The sequence below is a fragment of the Homo sapiens genome, chromosome 6 (assembly GCF_000001405.40).
Source record: "Homo sapiens chromosome 6, GRCh38.p14 Primary Assembly".
Lineage (NCBI taxonomy): Eukaryota > Metazoa > Chordata > Mammalia > Primates > Hominidae > Homo > Homo sapiens.
In genome coordinates this window covers 137664807-137685651 of record NC_000006.12, presented here as the reverse complement: position 1 = coordinate 137685651, position 20845 = coordinate 137664807, and the positions used below count along the sequence as shown (strand labels likewise).

General features: G+C 35.6%; 2 long non-coding RNA genes across 2 annotated transcripts, besides 1 other annotated feature; one reads left to right on the top strand and one right to left on the bottom strand.

Moving 5' to 3' along the window:
* Positions 3460-4659: an enhancer, noted in NCBI's record as "MED14-independent group 3 enhancer chr6:138002130-138003329 (GRCh37/hg19 assembly coordinates)". NCBI's record gives its function as "activates an origin of replication core promoter dependent on BRD2, BRD4, P300/CBP and CDK7 cofactors, and independent of MED14, by STARR-seq in HCT116 cells {active_cell/tissue: HCT116}" and the evidence as "EXISTENCE:reporter gene assay evidence [ECO:0000049][PMID:35650434]".
* LINC03004 (long intergenic non-protein coding RNA 3004) lies at positions 11098-20006 on the bottom strand. The gene is made up of 4 exons (NR_125867.1): positions 19913-20006; positions 13554-13632; positions 11528-11707; positions 11098-11264 (listed from the first exon to the last, which is right to left on the bottom strand). It is a non-coding gene; the product is annotated as a long intergenic non-protein coding RNA 3004 (long non-coding RNA).
* On the top strand, positions 12371-13960 carry LOC105378018 (uncharacterized). Its single transcript, XR_943058.3, has 2 exons — positions 12371-12497; positions 13343-13960. It is a non-coding gene; the product is annotated as an uncharacterized LOC105378018 (long non-coding RNA).
* Positions 20007-20845: the final 839 nt, after the last annotated feature.

Genomic DNA, 20845 nt, shown 5'->3' with positions numbered 1-20845 from the left:
AATGCTTGGACCTTGATTGGATATGGGTTTGTACAAACCAACTCTAAATTTTCTTATACATCATAATTGAAATGCTTTGATTTATTTCTTAGGCCATTTTACCTCCAACAAACCATCCTACTTTGACTTTCCCTACAAACAATCTAAAGCAAATGTTACGTGGTTATAACCACAGATACAGACTAGAAGCATAAATTTGCCTCATCAATCTGATTGATAGCTTAAGAGAATAGTGGAATAACAGATCACTGTCTGCATATGCCATTGTTCTACAGAACCATATCCTTTTAGTGGAGAAGTTACCTGCTAACAGATGGAAGCAGATAAAATATAATTTATCAATGGGTACTTCACCTACTATGTTACGCTGCCGTAGCAATGTCTCAAAACCTTGCTACAAAAAAAGTCGAAGAAAAACAGGGAGGTAGGTAGCAGTCTTTGAGAAATCTTCAGGATGAACATTGAGTGATGAACTGAAAATCTTAAGTTATTTTTCTTTTGACAGTCGTTTCTAAATTGCGTCTTTTAGATTAGCCTGAGCTAACAGTTTCAACTGTCCTCACAAAGAAATTTTAAATGAAGTTCACTCTCTGCAGGTAGCTGAAATTATGACATGAAAATTCTATCCCCATGAACCAAAGAAGTAGAAAAAAAATCTATGTACAGGAAGAGACAGACTAAAGCAGGTGGCTCAAGGGAGGCAGAGGGAGATACTGAAAGAAAAGGCTTGGGGTTTTCCGAGCCTTATTATGATTGCTTCCTGAGGTCTGGCTGTCTTTCTCCTCTTGGAATTCTTAAGACACACCTCTATTTCTTGAATTAATCTCCCTTGGTTGATAATGGAAAGAGAAAGTAAAACAAAACAAAACAAAACAAAACAAACAAAACAAAACAAAAAGACCTTGTCATTTTCTGAACATCCTTCAAATTTTACTATTTCTATAAAAACTTCCCTGATCACATCACTCCAAGAGATGGTATCTTTTCAATTCCTGTAAGTGCTTATTATCCCCTCCACTCACTTAACTCATCACAGACTGATTGCATTGTGAGTTATACTCCCAGAGCCCTCAAGTAGATTACACATTATTTAAAGCCACAATTCCATACTTTCATATTTCTCACTGCATCAAGCACAGCATGTGATAGATAGACCCTCAATAAGCATTTGCCAATTTGATGAGATTGATCATGCTCAGCAGTTCAAGTTCACCTTGTTGTTGAGCAATTGAAGTTATCTTGGCTTTAATAGAAACAACTAGGCTGAACCATGTAGAAAATAAAAATAAAATGAGGTACTTAATAAAATAACAGTAGGAGGAATATGAGATTATATACCAGCATAGAAACAGTTTTAAAAGATCCCCTAAAAGAGTAGGCAAGCCTAGATTAGACACCTCAAGAAGTCAGAATGTTTTACCAGCTTAACAAATATAATTAGTTGTTGACTCACTGGTGCATGGTATCTAATTTGTCTATTCAGTTGCTGAAATTTCATGTGCTGACAATTATCTATGCTGAGACTTTCCACGTTTACATCACCCATAAAAATAAAGAACTTGCTGTTCAAGTACAGGTTTGGGAAGTCTGACTATGCAGGCATTCTCGTGAAAAAGATCTAGGGGCTTTAACCGATCCCAAGCTGAATATGAGTCAAGAACTTGCTTTAATTTCTTAAACACGCTAATTCAATCTTAGGCCAAATTAGATGAAGAATCACCTTAACTTAGAATTGGGTGTTTGGGCAGCCTGCTACTGGTACCAAAACAGAGATATAGACCAATGGAACAGAACAGAAGCCTCAGAAATAACACCACACATCTACAACCATCTGATCTTTGACAAACAGGACAAAAAAAAGAAATGGGGAAAGGATTCCCTATTTAGTAAATGGTGCTGGGAAAACTGGCTAGTCATATGTAGAAAGCTGAAACTGGATCCCTTCCTTACACCTTATACAAAAATTAATTCAAGATGGATTAAAGACTTAACATGTTAGACCTAAAATCATAAAAACCCTAAAAGAAAACCTAGGTAATACCATTCAGGACATAGGCATGGGCAAGGACTTCATGACTGAAACACCAAAAGCAATGGCAACAAAAGCCAAAATACACAAATAAGATCTAATTAAACTAAAGAGCTTCTGCACAGCAAAAGAAACTACCATCAGAGTGAACAGGCAACCTACAGAATGGGAGAAAATTGTTGCAATCTACCCATCTGACTAAGGGCTAATATCCAGAATCTACAAAGAACTTAAACAAATTTACAAGAAAAAATCAAACAACCCCCTCAAAAAGTGGACAAAGGATAGGAACGGACACTTTTCAAAAGAAGACGTTTATGCAGCCAACAGACACATGAAAAAATGCTCATCATCACTGGCCATCAGAGAAATGCGAATCAAAACCACAATGAGATACCATCTCACACCAGTTAGAATGGCGATCATTAAAAAGGCAGGAAACAACAGGTGCTGGAGAGGATGTGGAGAAATAGGAACACTTTTACACTGTTAGTAGGACTGTAAACTAGTTCAACCATTGTGGAAGACAGTGTGGCAATTCCTCAAGGATCTAGAACTAGAAATACCATTTGACCCAGCGATCCCATTACTGGGTATATACCCAAAGGATTATAAATCATTTTAATATAAAGACACATGCACACATATGTTTATTGTGGCACTATTCACAAAAGCAAAAACTTGGAACCAACCCAAATTTCCATCAATGATAGACTGGATTAAGAAAATGTGGCACATATACACCATGGAATACTATGCAGCCATAAAAAAGGATGAGTTCGTGTCCTTTGTAGGGACATGGATGAAGCTGGAAACCATTACTCTGAGCAAACTATCACAAGGACAGAAAACTAAATACCGCATGTTCTCACTCATAGGTGGGAATTGAACAATGAGAACACTTGGAAACAGGGCGGGGAACATCACACACAGGGGCCTGTCATGGGGTCGGGGGAGGGGGAAGGGATAGCATTAGGAGAAATACCTAATGTAAATGACAAGATAATGGGTGCAGCAAACCGACATGGCACATGTATACATATGTAACAAACCTGCACATTGTGCACATGTATCCTAGAACTTAAAGTATAACAAATAAATAAATAAATAAAAAGAATTGGGTGTTTTGGTTATCTAGAAGTTCAGTATCTTGCATGATGCTGAACTTTTGCTATTCCAAATTATCTAAGGTCTCCTTTGGCTCCACTAGTGACCCCTGAAACAGTTCCCTCCTTGTAGCACAGCTCAATTGTTAGGAAATTCTCTAGCATTTTAAACTTTTTTCTACCATCCACTTTGCTGGCGCTTCCACCTCACAGCTTCATCCTGCTCATTGAGCCATATACCAAGTCTCACTCTTCTCCTTCATCACCATGGAAAGGCAGCTGTCATAAGCCAAATCCAACCCTCAAGTCTAAACTTGACATCTCTCCAGTTCTGGTAACCATTCTCTAAGTCATATGGTTTCTAGAACCCTCACTGTTTTGCTTGCCCTTCTTGTGAAGCTTTACTTTATAAAAAACAAAAACAAAAACAAAACACTAAGGCCTGGGCTGGGCATTATGGCTCACACCTGTAATCCTAGGACTTTGAGAGTCCAAGGTGGGTGGATCACTTGACCCCAGCAGTTTGAGACCAGCATGGGCAAGATGGCAAAACACTGTCTCTATAAAAAAAAAATAGCCAGGCACGTTGGCATGCATCTGTACTCCCAGCTACTTGGGAGGCTGAGGTGGCAGATCACTTGGGCCAGGAGGTCAAGGCTGCAGTGAGCCGTGATTGCGCCACTGCACTCCAAATTGGGTGACTGGGTGAGACCCTGTCTCAAAGAACTAACAAACAAAAACAACCAACCAACCAAACAAACCTAAGGCCAAAAGAGATAAATTATTTGCTCTAAATCATACAATCAACATCAGAGCTGAAACTTGTATTCCTTATTTGCAATGAATTGACTCACAGTGTAGCAATTTCTTTTTTACCTTGAATGATGCTGTATTATAAATCAACAGGGAAGCCAGAGATGCTATGAGAATACACCAACGGATAAGCAATCAGACCACACAGTTTCTAGGATTTCTCTTTCAAATGAAAACATGACTACTTTTTGAACAAAAGGGTTGAACACATTTGAAGAAAATCAATATTGTCTCTATTTCTTAGGTAATGAAACTGATAGCTTTTGAAGAATATGCTATCTTCCAGAGCTAAGAAATTCAAGGTGGGTAATGAGCATACTAGATTTTTAATGTCTAATACATTTAAGACGGTTATATACATTTCCTTTATACTTGGTAAACTATGTCTCTATCTGAACTTATCTTTTTAAAGAATATATAAACACTATATGTAGTCCTGAGAAGCAGCTTGGTACTGTACTACCTATTTGAGAGTAAAAGACATGTGACGTAGGTTTGTGTTTATTGTAAATGTTGAGATTTATGAATTGCTGAGTCATCCTTACCAAGAATCCTGGAAATTAGCGATCTTGATTTGACTGTGATTTCTCCCTGAGGTCAGTTCTAGGTCATTGTATTCTGAGTCTTTCTGCCACTTAGTCATGATGGGAATTAAAGTTGACCTGGATTTCCCCCATTGACATTGCCACTTGATTAGCTCCGAAATATAGAGATTATGAATCCTGTTTCATTCTAGACTTAAGTAGCAGGAAACTTCTGCTTTTCTTCTCAAACATACTCCTTCAAATTTATAGATGTCAGAAATCTCCATAGAATCACAGGGCAGATGTTTCTGGCGTGTGATTCACTCATAGAGACTAGGTGGGTATCATTATAGAAATTTTCACAGGCTCCCAGGGTACTACAAATTAGAGCCATTTCTTACTAATTTCAATCTATTTGGGTGAAGAGCAGTCAGAATTTTTTAAATCTTTTAATCATATGTTTAGAAAAACTTCTTGCAATAATTTCAAACTTACAAAATTTTTTATACAATACATAAAATATTCATATATCCTTTACCCAGATTTCTAAAATTTTTAACATTTTAACCACAATTTAAAAATCATTGTTTTTCTGTTTGCCCATGTCTGTACTCTTTTATATTTTTTGAATCATTTGAGGGGTAAGCCTTTTACACTTTCTTTTACCTCTTAATATTTTCTAATTATTGCCTAAGACTAAGGACATTCTTTATTCTTTATTTATTTATTTATTTTTGAGACAGAATTTCACTCTGTCACCTAGGCTGGAGTACAGTGCTGTGATCTTGGCTCATTGCAACCTCAGTCTCCCAGGTTCAAGCAATTCTCCTGCCTCAGCCTCCTGAGTAGCTGGGATTACAGGTGTGTGCCACCACGCCCAGATAATTTTTGTATTTTTAGTAGAGATGGGGTTTCACCATGTTGGTCAGGCTGGTCTTGAACTCTTGACCTCATGATCCACCCACCTCGGCCTCACAAAGTGCTGGGATTACAGGCGTGAGCCACTGTGCCCAGCCTGGCATTCTCTTACATAACCATAGTACAGTTATCAAATTCAGGACACTTTGATGCAATAGTTTTATGTATATTTTTTCCAATTATCTCAGTAATGTCCTCTATAACTTTTTTACCCTTTCCAGTCCAGAAGCCAGTACAGGACCATGGATTACATTTAGTTGTCTGTTTCTTTAGTCTCTTTTAACCTAGATCAGTTCCTTAGTCTTTCCTTTGCCTTTCATGGCAAAAGCCAGTAGTTTTATGGAATGTTTCTCCATTTGGGTTTGCTGATGTTTCCTCCCTGGCCACAAAACTACATAAACAATTCTGTGTCCTCCTCAGGTATCCCAGGCATAAAATATCCATCTGCTCCTCATTCATTCATTATATTAATTTTGATCACCTGATCAAACTCTTGTTCATTTTCTTCACTATAGAATTTCTATTTTCTCCCTTGCAACTAGTAAGCAATATGTTGAAAGACACTTTAAGCCCATGCAAATATTCTACTCCTCATCACACTTTTCTTCCTAAACTTGATTCTTGCTCTAATTCAAGTTTGCTATAATGGCTGTAAACTGTTGATATTACATGTTTACCCACTCTCTCCACATTTATTGGTAGGTGTTCTTTTGTTCTATAAGAAATGTCTCTCTCCCTCCCCTTTCCTCTCTCTCTCTCTCCCTTTCCTCTTTCTTCTCTCCCCTCTCTCACTTCTCTCCTCTTTGCCTCTCTTCCTCTCTCCCTTCTTCCCTATTATTAGTATGAATATATAGATTCCAATTTTATCCATGGGTTATACTTCATTTTTCTTATTAATGCTTTTTTTTTTTGAGAAGGAGTTTCATTTTTTCCCCCAGGCTACAGTGCACTGGCACAATCTTGGCTCACTTCAACCTCCACCTTCTGGTTTCAAGTGATTTTCCTGCCTCAGCCTCCTGAATAGCTGGGATTACAGGCGCTTACCACCATACCCAGCTAATTTTTGTATTTTTTAGTAGAGACGGGGTTTCACCACTTTGGCCAGGCTGGTCTCGAACTCCTGACCTTGTGATCTGCCCACCTCAGCCTCCCAAAGTGCTGGGATTACAGGCATGAGCCACCATACTCGGCCTTTGTTATTAATACTTTTAATGCTCAGATTGTCACAGACTTGGAAAGTTGGATCCCCTTTAAGCTGGCTCCCTTTTGATATGCTCCCATAATTTTTGTTTAAAACAACACTTTCTTGCTTTCTGGTTCAACAAGATATTTCAGACCCATCAAGTAGCATCCCTGTTCCAGCGCAGGAATCAGCCATTTCTCAAAGGACCTCTCTTTACTTATCATGGGGAATGGTATTTAGAAACCAAAATCTTAGCACTAGATGTTTTCATTGTTACTGAGGGGGTCTGCCTCCAGGCCCTTTTTGAGGATAGAGCTAAGAAAGCTACACACACAGAGATGCATACACACATACACACACACAAAGGCTTGTCTATACATGTCATAGAAATTCTGCAGTTATACTGATACTTTCAATATCAATCCCACTCCACGAGTTTCTTTTTTGCCTTCCCCCCACCCACTCCATCTTTGAATCTCCCTTCTTCCACAATGAGAATTCTGCCTTTCAACAGCATCAGAACACTGACTCATTTTCCCAGTTCTAAAACACACATAAAATCGTTTCAGAATTGCTATACCCAAATCACCATGCATATCAAATCAAATCAAGTAAAAAGAAATTAAGATGCATTTGAAGTTCTTTATTTTTTTCCCTAGAGTAAAAGTATATTATCAAAGTGTTGTCTTTAAAGTTACCTGAATTAGTTCTTTGCCCCTGCAACCCCCACTTCAATGTAGTAATGTTATCCATTTCGTAGAGGTTTATGCAGAGAAGTATCACTGCCTTCTCTATCACTTCTGTCTGATTTTCCCTCACCTTTTGTAGGTAAGTGATTTCATTGTCTTCTGGTTTATTTTTCCTGTGTTTCTTTTTCCAAAAAAGAGCAGACTTGTGTATTTTCTTATTTCTCCTTGCTTACACAAAAGGTAGCATATTGTAGATGCTCTTCTACAATTGGCTTTAAAAAAAAACTTATCTCCTGAAGTTCATAGAAATACTTTTTAGTGAAATTGTGTAGTACTCTGTTGTGTGAAGTACTCCAAGGTATTCAGATAGTTCCCAATATTTTGCTATTACAAATAATGCTGCAGTTAAGAACCTTGTATGTATGTACTTCCTTTTTTTTTTTTTTTTTTTTTTTTTTTTGACAGAGTCTGGCTCTATCTTCCAGGCTGAAGTGCAGTGGCGCAATCTTGGCTCACTGTAACTTCCACCTCCCAGGTTCAAACAATTCTCGTGCCTCAGCCTCCTGCGTAGCTGGGATTACAGGAACATGCTACCACGCCTGGCTAAATTTTTTTGTATTCTTAGTAGAGATGGGTCTTTGCCATGTTGGCCGGGCTGGTCTGTAACTGCCTGCCTCAGTCTACCAAATTGCTGGGGTTACAGGCATGAGCCACTACAACTGACCCATATTTTGGTATTTTGAAGATGTATCTTCATGATATATTCCTGGAATTAGGACTCCTTAATTGAAGAGTAAATGTCTGTGTGGTTTTGTTAGATATTGACAAATCCCCCTTCATGAGGCTATACCATTTTGCATTTCCATGATCAGTGTTTGAGAGTGTGTATTTCCCTAGAGTCTCTTCAATGGAATGTATTATCAAGCTTTTGAATAGTTGCTAATCTGGTGAATGAGAAGAGTCTCTGTGTAGTTTCAATTTTAATTTCACGAGTGAAATTGTACATGTTTTTCTATGTTTAAGGGCCATGTTTATATCTCTTTTTGGGAAATTTTCATGTCTTGTGCCCACTTTAAGATAGTACTGTCAGTGTTTCCTCAATTTTACAAATTCTTACATAATAGGGATATTAACTCTGTATCTGTGATTAAATACTTAAAATATTTTCTTCCAATTTGTTATTTGTCTTTTAACTTTGTTTATTGTTTTTGCCACTTGCTTTTTTTGTAGTCAGATCTGTTAAGCATTTCTTCTCTTTCCTGTGGCTTTTGAGGTATAGTCAGAAATCTACCTACAATCAAATTTTAGAGAGATTCATTTCGGTTTCATTCTGGCACTTGTATAGTTACATTCAGACCTTGAATCCATTTAGCACGTATTCTTATGTGTGTGAGAAGTGGACATAATTTTATCTTTTCCTCAACTGTCTGTCCAGTTGCCCCACCATCTTTGTTTAAAAGCCCATTTGTTCCCTAAGATTTGAGATAATACCACCTCTGTCATAGTCTAGATTTCCATATGTTGTTGGGTCTGTTTCTGGACTTTCTATTCTGTTCTATCTGTTCATGTGCCAGTACCACACTGTTCTTAAAGCAGAGACTTTATAGTATGTTTTAATGTGAGTATGGCTGGTCTCTGTTACTTCACCTCACCCCCCCATCGACACGCTATATTTATTCCTTTTCAGTATTTCCCTACCATGTTTATTTCTCCATATGAACTTTAGTATTAATTTGGCTAGCTACAGAAAGAAAAGGGATTTCTGTTTTATTGGAATTTTATCAAATTTATGAATTACCTTTGAGAAAACTGACATCCAAATACCATTGAGACATCCTAACCAAGACCTCAAGATGTATTTCTGTTAGGTCACCTCTACCTTTGTGTCTTTCAGGAATGTTTATAATTTTCTTCATTTAGGCTTTGAACACTTTTTAAGCTTATTCCTAAATATTTTATTTTTCCTATTGCTATTATAAATGGGTTTTTTTGCTTTATATTTTCTAACTGGTTATTTTTGTGTATATGAAAGCTATTGATTTTTTATTTTTGCAATTATTAAAGTATTTTAAAATATAACTAATTTTATTGCTTGTAAGTATGTAACCTCAGCATTTTTAGTACTTCAGAGTTTACAAAGTATTTTTGCAATATATCTTTTACTTAGTGCATATGATAACTTGATCTAGTAAAACAAAATACCTCCTAATAGAATGTATTGTTTCAATAAAATGACCTATAATTAGTTATTAATCGTATGCTGTAATGTAGTCATTATTTTTCTTAAATTTATCTACTTCAATGGTAACACATTTTTAATTTTCAAAACATCATAAAGAGGGCAAAGATAAGCTTCAGCCCAGATCTTGCCAAAATTCTCTCAAAGGTTCAAAATTATGAGCCTCTTAATAGTATACGCTACACATGCCCAAAAAATATTATCCTAGTGGTATCAAACATTCTTGCTTATTCTGAGTTGATGGAGCCAGAGGGAGGCGGACTTCCCTGACCATCTTTCAGTTTCATTGCACTTGCTCCCAATGCATTTCAGCAGGCTGACCCTTCTGTGCTAGCTGAATGTCTTAGTTTGTTTTTTATTGCTATAATAGAACACCTGAAACTGGATAACTTGAAAGGAAAGTAGTTGATTTAGCTCATGATTCTGGAGTCTGGGAAGTCCAAGATTGTGGGGTTGCATCTGGTGAGGGCCTTGTGCTGCTTCATAGCATTGTGGAGAAGCAGGAGAGGGGAGACAGTGTGCCAACCTGCTTTACAACCCACTCTTTAAGAACTAACCAAGTTCCATGAGAACTGCGTTAATCTCTTCATAAGGGCAGAGCCCCCATGACCAAACACCGTCAACTAGGCCCACCTGCCGACACTGCCATCCTGAGGACCAAGGTTCTAACACATGAACTTTTGGAAAACACACTCAAACCATAGCACTGAACTATAAATATTTAATTGCAGAGAAAGTCCATAAAATCTGCAAGTGCTACAAAATCTATAAATCTTTTCACAAATTGAACTGTAGTTATCACTCCAGCCCTTGCATCCATTTAAAACACAGCCGTAAGTACACATGGAAATTATTTATTTAGTTGTCAGACACTGTTTACTACACAGGTGGATTTAGAGGCCACTTTGGAAGAACTCTTCATATACCCTTTTCCCCAAGGACCCCAAGACCACAGATCGATTCCCCCTACACTGTATCATGCTCTCAGAAATGTTACCTACAGCATTGTTACAACTACTCACAGACAGATATGGCTGCAATATCAGTTTTTTCAACAGGATTGGCTTCCTAAGCATAGCATAAATGCTTCTTTTTAAAATCTTATCTGGTTTTATCTTACATGAAGGTGGTATGTTACCATTTTTACTATGTTCTTGACTTTACTTGATGATTTCCTTAAACTTATTCTCCTCTATAGTCTATATGGCTAGAAGAATGCCTAACCATACTTTTCAAACTCTTCTTTAGGATTTTTTTAAGGTCTATATAAATTTTTAAGTGTAGGAATCTCAATAGAGTAAAACCATTTCCTATTTGACAAAATAACATAAATCTAGATACTTCAATTTTGAAAGCCATAGGCCTGTAAGACATGAATTCCATCAAGATGATAAATTGCATGCTAATCACATCCATCTGTAGTACTTAGAGGGAGATAGTGAGCAGAAGGTTAGCGCTAAATCTTTATTATAATTTGAAGAGATTTATTGAAGAACCCATATCATACCCCTAGTAGTACATAACCACTGCACCAAAAAAACAAAAAAAAATAACCAAATTCCAAAGAATAAATGAATTCAAGAGAACATCATGGAATGCTTTGCTATATTCATTCATTTATTCATTCAATGCATACTGAGCACCAGTCCTGTACCAGACATCTAAGACCATGGTCTTAGATGTTGGGATACTGCAGTGAGCAATGTAGACACAGTGTACCAGGAGTTTATAGTCTATATAAGACTATTCTTGCTGCATTAACTCTAAAAAATAAAAAAAAGAACTCCTTAGTTTATAAGGCAGAGAATTTTGGCAATATCCAAGCACATTTTAAAGAGACTTCCTAGTATATAAACTACTTCCTGTTGCTATGTGCGATGCTATGTTGGGCAACTATTTTCAGGCTATTAGTTCTATCAGTAAATAATTTCCTCTTTAAATTTAGTTTGTTTTGTAAACGTTTTAAAAGAATTAATGTACAAGAAATAGCGAGGTACTAGCTTTTAAATGAATAAATATGGCTCACAGCATTGTGGAGGAGCATGTGAGGAATGTTTGGCTCTGCAGAAGGCAGCAGGTCTTCTCCAGTCTCAGGTGTGAACATCCAAGTAGACTGAGTTGCATTATCTGTTAGAATTTATCACTGCTTCTGTGGATGCAATAATCATGATGAAAAAGGATCCTTCACAGCACAGCTTCCTCCTCTCTGAAACAAGAAAGACTTGATTCGAACAAGATTGAGATAAATTAGTATCTAAAATCTCAGTCCTCCCCTACCTGCTAGAAGCTGAGAGAGTCTGATAGAACGATAAGAGGAGACAATTACAGCTCCTATTTCCCTGACACACAGCCCACACCCAAAGCCGCCTATTGAAAGGAAAATCCTCCTCATCCAATGACATCATATAATCATATGTGAAACAATGGAAAGTGCTGAATAGAGACCTTTATACAATTATTCTAAGGTAATTTGACAAGCTAAAGAGACAGTATGTTTCCCAAGCATGTTTCCTACCCCTGGTATGAAGATGTTGGAGTCACTTTATGATCTAGGTTCAAACAACGTTCCAGTTTCATCTCGACGCTCCCCACAGCAGACCAATGGCTTACTAAAGATTTTTTAGGTTACAACTATCAGAAACCAAACAAGCATTTCTACACAAAAAAGGCATTTATTAAAAGAATATTAACATATCTCCTGGAATCCAAGGAAGAGGAAAACTCCCCAGGCTCTGGAAGATCCAGGAACTTCCACAAAGGGAAGTTCCGTTCCTCTGCCATGAACATGGCTCAGCTCCCAGCAACCTTAGTTCTAAATTCCAAAATCATAAGAAGAAAAATCCAAATGACCCAGCCAATATTTTCTTTCAGACTCAGGCAAGGCTGGTCCCTGCCCTGGGCTCCACACTTCAGAGGGCCCTGGGCTCCACACTTCAGAGGGCCCTGGGCTCCACACTTCAGAGGGCCCTGGGTATGACAAAACTATGAAAAAAAAGGTATTAAAAAACAGATGGGTCTCTTTATCACTGGGATTCTGCATGTAGTTCTTGGTGCAACACAAGCGGTAATTCTAAATCCTCAGGGAAACATTTCTCTATGTATCTTGTCTTAGGCTCTTAAGTACAAGGCAACCACATTTGGATTCCATGAGACTTTCTGGATTGTGCTGCTGTGGATGCTTGAGGCAAACAGTGCTTTAGAGTGCAGGGGAGATTTGAGTAGCTCTTGCACATAGAAAAGAATAAAGGCAAATAAATTAACTTGTAAAATCCATGTTATCAGATACCATAAATGGAATAGATTCCCTTATAATGAAAGTCTGTTTCCCAATAGCGCTGAACATCTATTCATTTATTTCTCTTCTTGTTACCATTTGCAGCTCCAGAGGCACTTATGATTTTAGGGTGGCATTCATAATAGTTAACATGTAGCAGCTGAGAAACATTTTGGAATGTTAAGCAATTCAGATTGCTTTGAAATTTGTATATATATAGGTCTATAATATCACTTAAACATAGTGTTAATTCTTTTCATTGTCAACTAGTTGGACATTAAATGGTAAAATTACAAACAGTATTGTTTTTATGAAACAACAAAATTTTATTAAAATTATAAAAATTTTAAAATTCAGCTTGATTTAACTAATTTTGAATAAAATTATACAATCCATCAATTACAATTTGTGTTTTACTGCTTAATTGTAAGAAATGATTTTAAATATTTTAGAAGAAAACACTTCCTTTGGAAAACTACATTTAATTTTTAAAATTGTATATATATTCTAAGTTGCAATTTTGAATGAACACGTGGTAAAATTACATTTAATTTTTTAATCTTTTAGATCCTTAGGAATGACTACAGTCAAAATCACAAAAGAAGTAGAAAATGTAAAAGTAACCCCAAAATAGAAAGAAGAAATAATCTTCAAAGAGGATGTTTTCTTAAATTGTTTAAACTCACAACTAAATTGAACAAATGTATGTTAAGCATAATCTACATAAGATTTATGAATAAGATATTACAAATTCTATATACACTGAGGTTTTACTTACTGTTAAAAACAATGGAAATGTACAAGAAATTGTCCCAGTCAAATCCACGACTTGTATGCCCCTGATGAAATTCCTGCAACTAAGAAAATTCAATAATTCACATTTTAAAATATGAATATTTCTTATCAAATGAAGATTTAATTACTTATCAAAACAAAGAAGATTTGAAAAGATATTCATATCAAAATCACAACCCAAAAACATCAAATGCATCTCTGCATTTCCCTTTAAAAGATGCAAAAAAAATGACATTCATGCATTATAAGTTGAATGAGAAAGACAGAACCTCTGGAACTTTACTGTTTATTAGATGATGATCCTAGAAAACAGTCCATGTGAACTTTCTGACAGTGTGAGAATGTTTCTTGCAAAATACACTCTGCAGCAAATAAACGATTTTGATTTTTCATTGCCTGAACATTGCAGAAAATGTTATACTCCATTTTATATCAAAATTCTCTCAAATGGAGAGAAAAATGTTAAAACTGACTTACGTTTTAATGTCAAAAACAAAATACTGTGTTACTACTGTCAAATGCTTCACAACTAATCTTCAAAATGAAGGTATTTGTTGCTAACAACACTTAGGATCTCAATTAAAAGAACACAAATATATCAGTTGTGCATATATACATAAACACACAAAACAAAATGTGCAATTACTAGAACTTTTTAAAAATTTAAATAGCAAAAATTGACAGTACTCTGTAAAGAAAGACATAGGATATTAGCATGATATATTTTTTTAAAATGTTATGTATTTCATATTTATCCCAAGCTTTTCATAACACAAACAACAAACATTTTCAGAAAACACTGGAAAATTTTTAGTTTAAATAGAAATTATTGAGAAAAGTTATGCTATGATGTTTGAACATGTAAGCTGAATAAAAATAAACAAATGTCAAAGATCAGAAAGTTGTAGATTTGTGGTCTTATTTCTAAGATCTCTATTCTATTCCATTGAAAGGATTCCCTATTTAATAAACGGTGTTGGGAACACTGGCTAGCCACATGCAGAAAATTGAATCTGGACCCCTTCCTTACACCTCATACAAAACTCAACTCAAGATGGACTGAAGACTTAAATGTAAAATCCAAAACTGTAAAAATCCTAGAAGAAAATCTAGGCAATACCATTCCGCACATAGGCACAGTCAAAGATTTCACAACAAAATCACCAAAAGCAATTGCAACAAAAGCAAAAATTGACAAATGGGACCCAATTAAACTAAAGAGCTTCTGTGCAGCAACAGAAACTATCATCAGAGTGAACAGAGATCCTACAGAATGGAAGAAAATTTTTGCAATCTATCCATCTGACAAAGGTCTAATAGCCAGAATCTACAAGGAACTTAAACAAATTTACAAGAAAAAAACAAGCAACCCCATTAAAAATTGGGCAAAAGACATGAACAGCCCCTGCTCAAAAGAAGGCATTTATGTGGCCAAGAAACATATGCAAAAAGCTCAACATCACTGATCATTAGAGAATGCAAATCAAAACCACCACAATGAGATACTATCTCAAGCCAGTCAGAATGGCGATTATTAAAAAGTCAAGGAACAACAGGTGCTGGTGAGGCTGTGGAGAAATAGGAATGCTTTTATACTGTTAAAGGGAATGTAAATTAGTTCAACCACTGTGGAAGACAGTGTGGTGATTCCTCAAAGACCTACAGAACCAAAAATAACATTTGACTCGGCAATCCCATTACTGAGTATATACCCAAAGGAATATAAATCATTTTATTATAAAGATGCATGCATGCATGCGTATTTTCATTGCAGCATTATTCACAATAGCAAAGACATGGAATCAACCCAAATGCCCATCAGTGATAGACTGGATAAAGAAAATGTGGTACATATACACCGTGGAATACTATGCAGCAATAAAAGGAACAAGATCATGTCCTTTGCAGGGATATGGATGGATCTGGAAGGCATTATCCTCAGCAAACTAACATGGGAACAGAAAACCAAACACTGCATGTTCTCACTTATAAGTGGGAGCTGAACAATGAGAACACATGGACACAGGGAAGGGAACAACACACATTGGGGTCTGTTGGGGGAGCTGTGGGAGGTAGAGCATCAGGATAAATAGCTAATGCATGTGGGGCTTAACACCGAGGTGATGGGTTGATAGGTGCAGCAAACCACCATGGCACATGTTTACCCATATAACAAACCTGCACAAATGTATGTAGCAAACGTTCTGCACATGTAGCCCAGAACTTAAAATTAAATTTAACTTAATTTTAAAAAGAAAGAAACTAGTTATTACTATGTAAAAATAACCCAAAACAAGATTTGAAAATTTTATGTGTAATAAAGTGAGAAAATAAATCATCCACAAAATAAAAATCTAAAAATACTAAGTTCAACTATATTGTACCAGAAACAAAATTCATGTTGAAAATAACTTTTATTATTCAAATGTTTGAACCAACCCCCAAAAATGAAAATTTAAGAGTGTTTAGTTTGTTTTATACATGTTGGTAAAAGCTTGGGTTTTGATTAAAATGAAGACATTTAAAAAACACAATTTTCAGTGGTAGGCATTAATTTGAAAGGTTATCTAGGCGGAGCTATGATAATGGCATCAACACAGTTGCTTTAAAAACAAATGTACAAGACAGAATTTGGGCTAAAATTTAAAAAGCATTCTTTGTACCACATAGTGCATGGTTTGGATTTGTCACATGAGACAAACCCTCCACTGTGTCAATAGTTCAACAGCAATGACATTTTGTGGAGCAATTCATTATTATATTAGATGTTTTCTGAATATGCTCATCAAATATAACTTTACCACTATACTCAGACACACAATGAGAATGGCAACTAAATGCTGCTATAGCAATTAAATTTTATTTAAGTAAAATATATGAAACAACTAGAAGAAAGCAAAGTAGTAGAAAATCCCAAAGTAAGAGAAAATTCATTATTTGACAGAAAATGAATTAATCTTGAATTTAGTTATTTGGTGTAAACTGATACCTGTTACTAGTTATGTTAGCAAAAGCTTAAAACAAACTCAAATTACTTTCGGTTAACTTTTAAAAAACTGAAAGTGTAATAAAATGTTAGAAATGAGGTTTTTTTTCTAAATTGAAAGAAACAGCAGGTGAAATAACAAAAGTGCATTCCAATAAAGAAAGGGGAAATAAGAATGTCTGCATATCTGTGAAGGAGAGGAGTCATGTACCCATAATCTCTAAAGGAATTTCTATAGAGTTTATTTTCTGAACATATTATAGGTCCAGATATAGTCTTAAATAAAGAGAAATTTCAATACATTGAGCAATATTTTATTGCTTTTTCATTTTTATAATATTACAACATTGAATTTTTGAAAGAAGAAAAACTTAAGAAGTATTCTATGGATATTGCTAAGAGACCATGAAAGTTTTGTGATAGTGACATATGCAATTAAAATAGCTTATAATAGATTCTATGATCATGACAATTTATTATAGGTAGCTCCATGACAATGATTAAACATTGTATGTAAATTTCGTTGTTCATTGTGAATATCAGTATTGCTTTAAGAATTTTATTGACAATTTCCACTGCTGCCTCAGGAGAGTAAAGTTGACCCAAACTGAAAGGAACAAGAACTGAGAGGTATAATGATTCAAAAAACATGGCTTAATTGGCCTTACTGTTGATAGAATACAAATTTGGTGAAAATCTGAATCATAATGACATAAATATTAATTCAACTAAAATATTAATAGAAAGAAATAAAAATATATTTCATTAAATAAATAGATGATAGTTTACGAATGTACATGTCATTATTTTATTATTCATTCAAATACTGCTGGCCTATCAACTGGAAGCTTTGACATGCATAATAAGAATTCAATTCCAGGGAAGCCGAGGCAGGCGGATCACAAAGTCAGGAGATGGAGACCAGCCTGGCCAACATGGTGAAACCCCGCCTCTACTAAAAATACAAAAATTAGCTGGGCATGGTGGCATGTGCCTGTAATCCCAGCTACTCAGGAGGCTGAGACAGGAGAATCACTTGAACCCGGGAGGCAGAGGTTGCAGTGAGCTGAGATCATGTCACTGCACTCTGGCCTGGCGCCATAGCAAGACTCCGTCTCAAAAAAAAAAAAAAAATTCAATTACATTGTCTTTCATATTTAGCCAACACTCAATTACATAAAAATTATAGCTTCATGCACTTATATATTTAAAATATTGTTGTAAAAGGATATATCTGTTCTAATTTAATGTTCTAATTTAATTCCAATAGGAATAGTGTCACCCAATATAAGCACAGTTACCAGGGAACCAACTCAGTGTGCCTGGGAGCATTTTCCAAAGAAAATGCTATGAATCCCCACATCCCATTGAGACTTATCTATTATACCACTTCTCACGGTGTATCAATTATTTTCTGTGTGCTGGTCTATTCCAACAGAGCACAAGCCCTTTAGGGGTAAGGACTATAACTTTTCATGTTCGTTTCTAATATCTAACTCAGACAGAGCCTTCTGCATAGAAAGTACTTAAACATTTATTAAATGAATCAATGAGTTCACAAATAGACAAAATTTCTGACAAATTCAGAGCTTCTAATACTCATATCACATATTAACATCATATATAATATTATATATTACATAATAATATTAGAGAGTTCAGTATAATTTCTTTACATCTTAATGCATCAGAAAGAGCTTTACTAAGCCATTGATACTGAAATTAAAAGCAATTCACATTCACATTCTTGCTAAATATTAATTATATTCAAACCTAAATAAGTCATAAATCAAGTGAGACGTGATGTTTTCAAACTTGAATAACCTTTTCCTAATTGAATTTTTAAATTATAAATATGGCAATGCTAAGTACAACCAATATAAACACAAAAGATCATAAAGTGAAAAATAAAAATCTCCTGCCTTCTCAGTCATATAGTCCAAGAGGCAACTACATCTAACAGTTCGGGGAGTTTCCATCCAGATAGTTTTGATGCCTTGAAAATATTTTTTTCCACATACTCACAACTACCAACAGGTAATTTTTTTTTCCATTCTTTCCTTTTCTTTTCTTTTTCTTTTTTTTGTTTTTTACCCAAACTTGAATTGTAGTATCTAGATTGTCTTGCAAATTGTTTTCATCACTTAAAAATATTTTGCTGTAAACATCTTGCTAGACAGTTTTTACAATGTTCTCTTCAGGTTATTCAGACACTGGATAGCAATAAATTTTTAGAGTTCATTTTCAACATGTAATTATAAGTACTTAAGGAAAACAGGACTATATTATTTCAGTTGAACATCTCACCAAGCTCTTCTCACATTCATTTTCTCGATAATCTCTTGAAATGATGGTTTGGTCTTGAAGTTCTTGGTTATCGAAGCTCAAGTCTCACTGTGACATCACTTGGGAAGTCCAGGCTTATCCGGCTTATCCATGAACAGAAATTGCCCTGGGGATTTCAGATCTACCTCATTTGGAAAATTCAGAAAATTATGTAGAAGTCACATCAAGAAACCTTTGATTTGAAAGTGAACTCATTTATTAACTTTTCTATACATTTTTAAAAAGGAAAGTGTGTATGTAGAAGCATCTCCTTTTTTAAAAAAAAGTGCTGGAGGGCTGAAAATATCATTTTCACTTTCATTTAGTCAGGCAAAGAGTTAACCCACAATAAACAAACTACCATGTTACCAAGTAAACATAAGATAGTCAGTTTTACTTAGAAGTTGTTTTCAATATTTTATTTTAATTCAGCTGAAGGGGAAGCTAGATATTTGGCTAGCAACCTTCACCCTAACAATAAAGAAATCAACACATCTGTTCTATATCTGGCCAGGCTCTGCGGCCCCCTCAAAATTTGACACATTATTATGCTTCTCTGGGCTTCCATTATGTCATTTCTAAAACAAATGTGTTGGATGAGATTATCTTACTGCTTTCTAAAATTACAATTCAACCAAATTGTGACTTCAACCAAAACTATAATTATTTACTAAGGATAATTTGGTCTATGTTTCCTTGTATTGAACTAATATACAGTTTTTAAAAATAATTTTTAGGGGAAATGATGAGATATGTCCCCTAATAATTTAGAAATGTGATGTGATGTCCATTACCCTCTCAGAATTAAGCTATGAAGATAATGCAAAAGGGACCAAGACAAAAAGATGAAAAGTTTGACTGAAAATATTAGCACATGTAAAGGAGGGATGTATCAAAAGAAAGTTTTTGCCACCTCCGTCTTCCCCATCTCACCACCAGGGAAAATAGGGAAGGGTTTAAGGAATAAGGGAGGCACAGGAGAGACGGAAGGGTCAAGGTCAATGGGAGGTGAGTGTGGCTGCCATCCTCACCTGGTGCTCTCCACTGCTGGAGACAACAATGATCTTGGTCGTACGGACTGCTCACATGCTCAGCCAGCTAACTGAGAGAGCCATTTGCCATCCCCTGAGAAAGTAAACATTCCTCCAGTCATCCATCAGTTTAGAATAACAGACATGATTATAAAGCCAGCAACAATATTTATGGGAAACAATGTTTCTCCTAAGGACCACAGCTATAAAGTGTCACGCAACCTTCCTTCTTCTTTGAAGGATTACTGCCTTCTTACTCATGAAGAAACAAGTTTATCTAACATCATAGACTATCAAAATGTCACATTTGAAATAGTATCATTAAGGATGAAATATTCCATTCTTGCCCGGAGGATCTCAGTCACCTTGACCCAGTGAAGCAGCCTCCATTTCCAAGCCAGTTATAGAGCTTCAGATAAGGGGTGTCTAGACACAATATTCAACATCAATCTTAACTTAGTAGTTTTTAAGGAAACAGGGCCTGAAGTCCATGTCATGGTCCAGACTTGATATTGATCCTCTACTCAAAGTCTTGTTTTGTTTTGAGCCTATCAAAGCACTGCTTCATTTAATGTTCACCTTAATTCCACCCTTCCTTCAAATTCTATAATAACTCAGCTTTTTCCTTGTTTGGAAATGGTTCTATAAACTTAATTTTTCAGACTTCAGGTCTGTTCCTTTTGGTTCTAGGCTGATGGGCTAGGACATCTTGTAGATCTACCATAGTAGAGAATGCTCTGTGTGATTGTCATGTTTCTCATTATAAGTTAATTCTTTTAACTTTTAAAAAATGTTGATTCTTGCTTATAGTAGGTCTGCCCCCAAGAGATAGACACCCTATTGGGAAACAAGAAAATCATTTAATTTTAAGCCCATCAGGTGTCAAAACACTATATCTTTAAATAAGTAATGAATGAGCACTTGGTAGGCTTT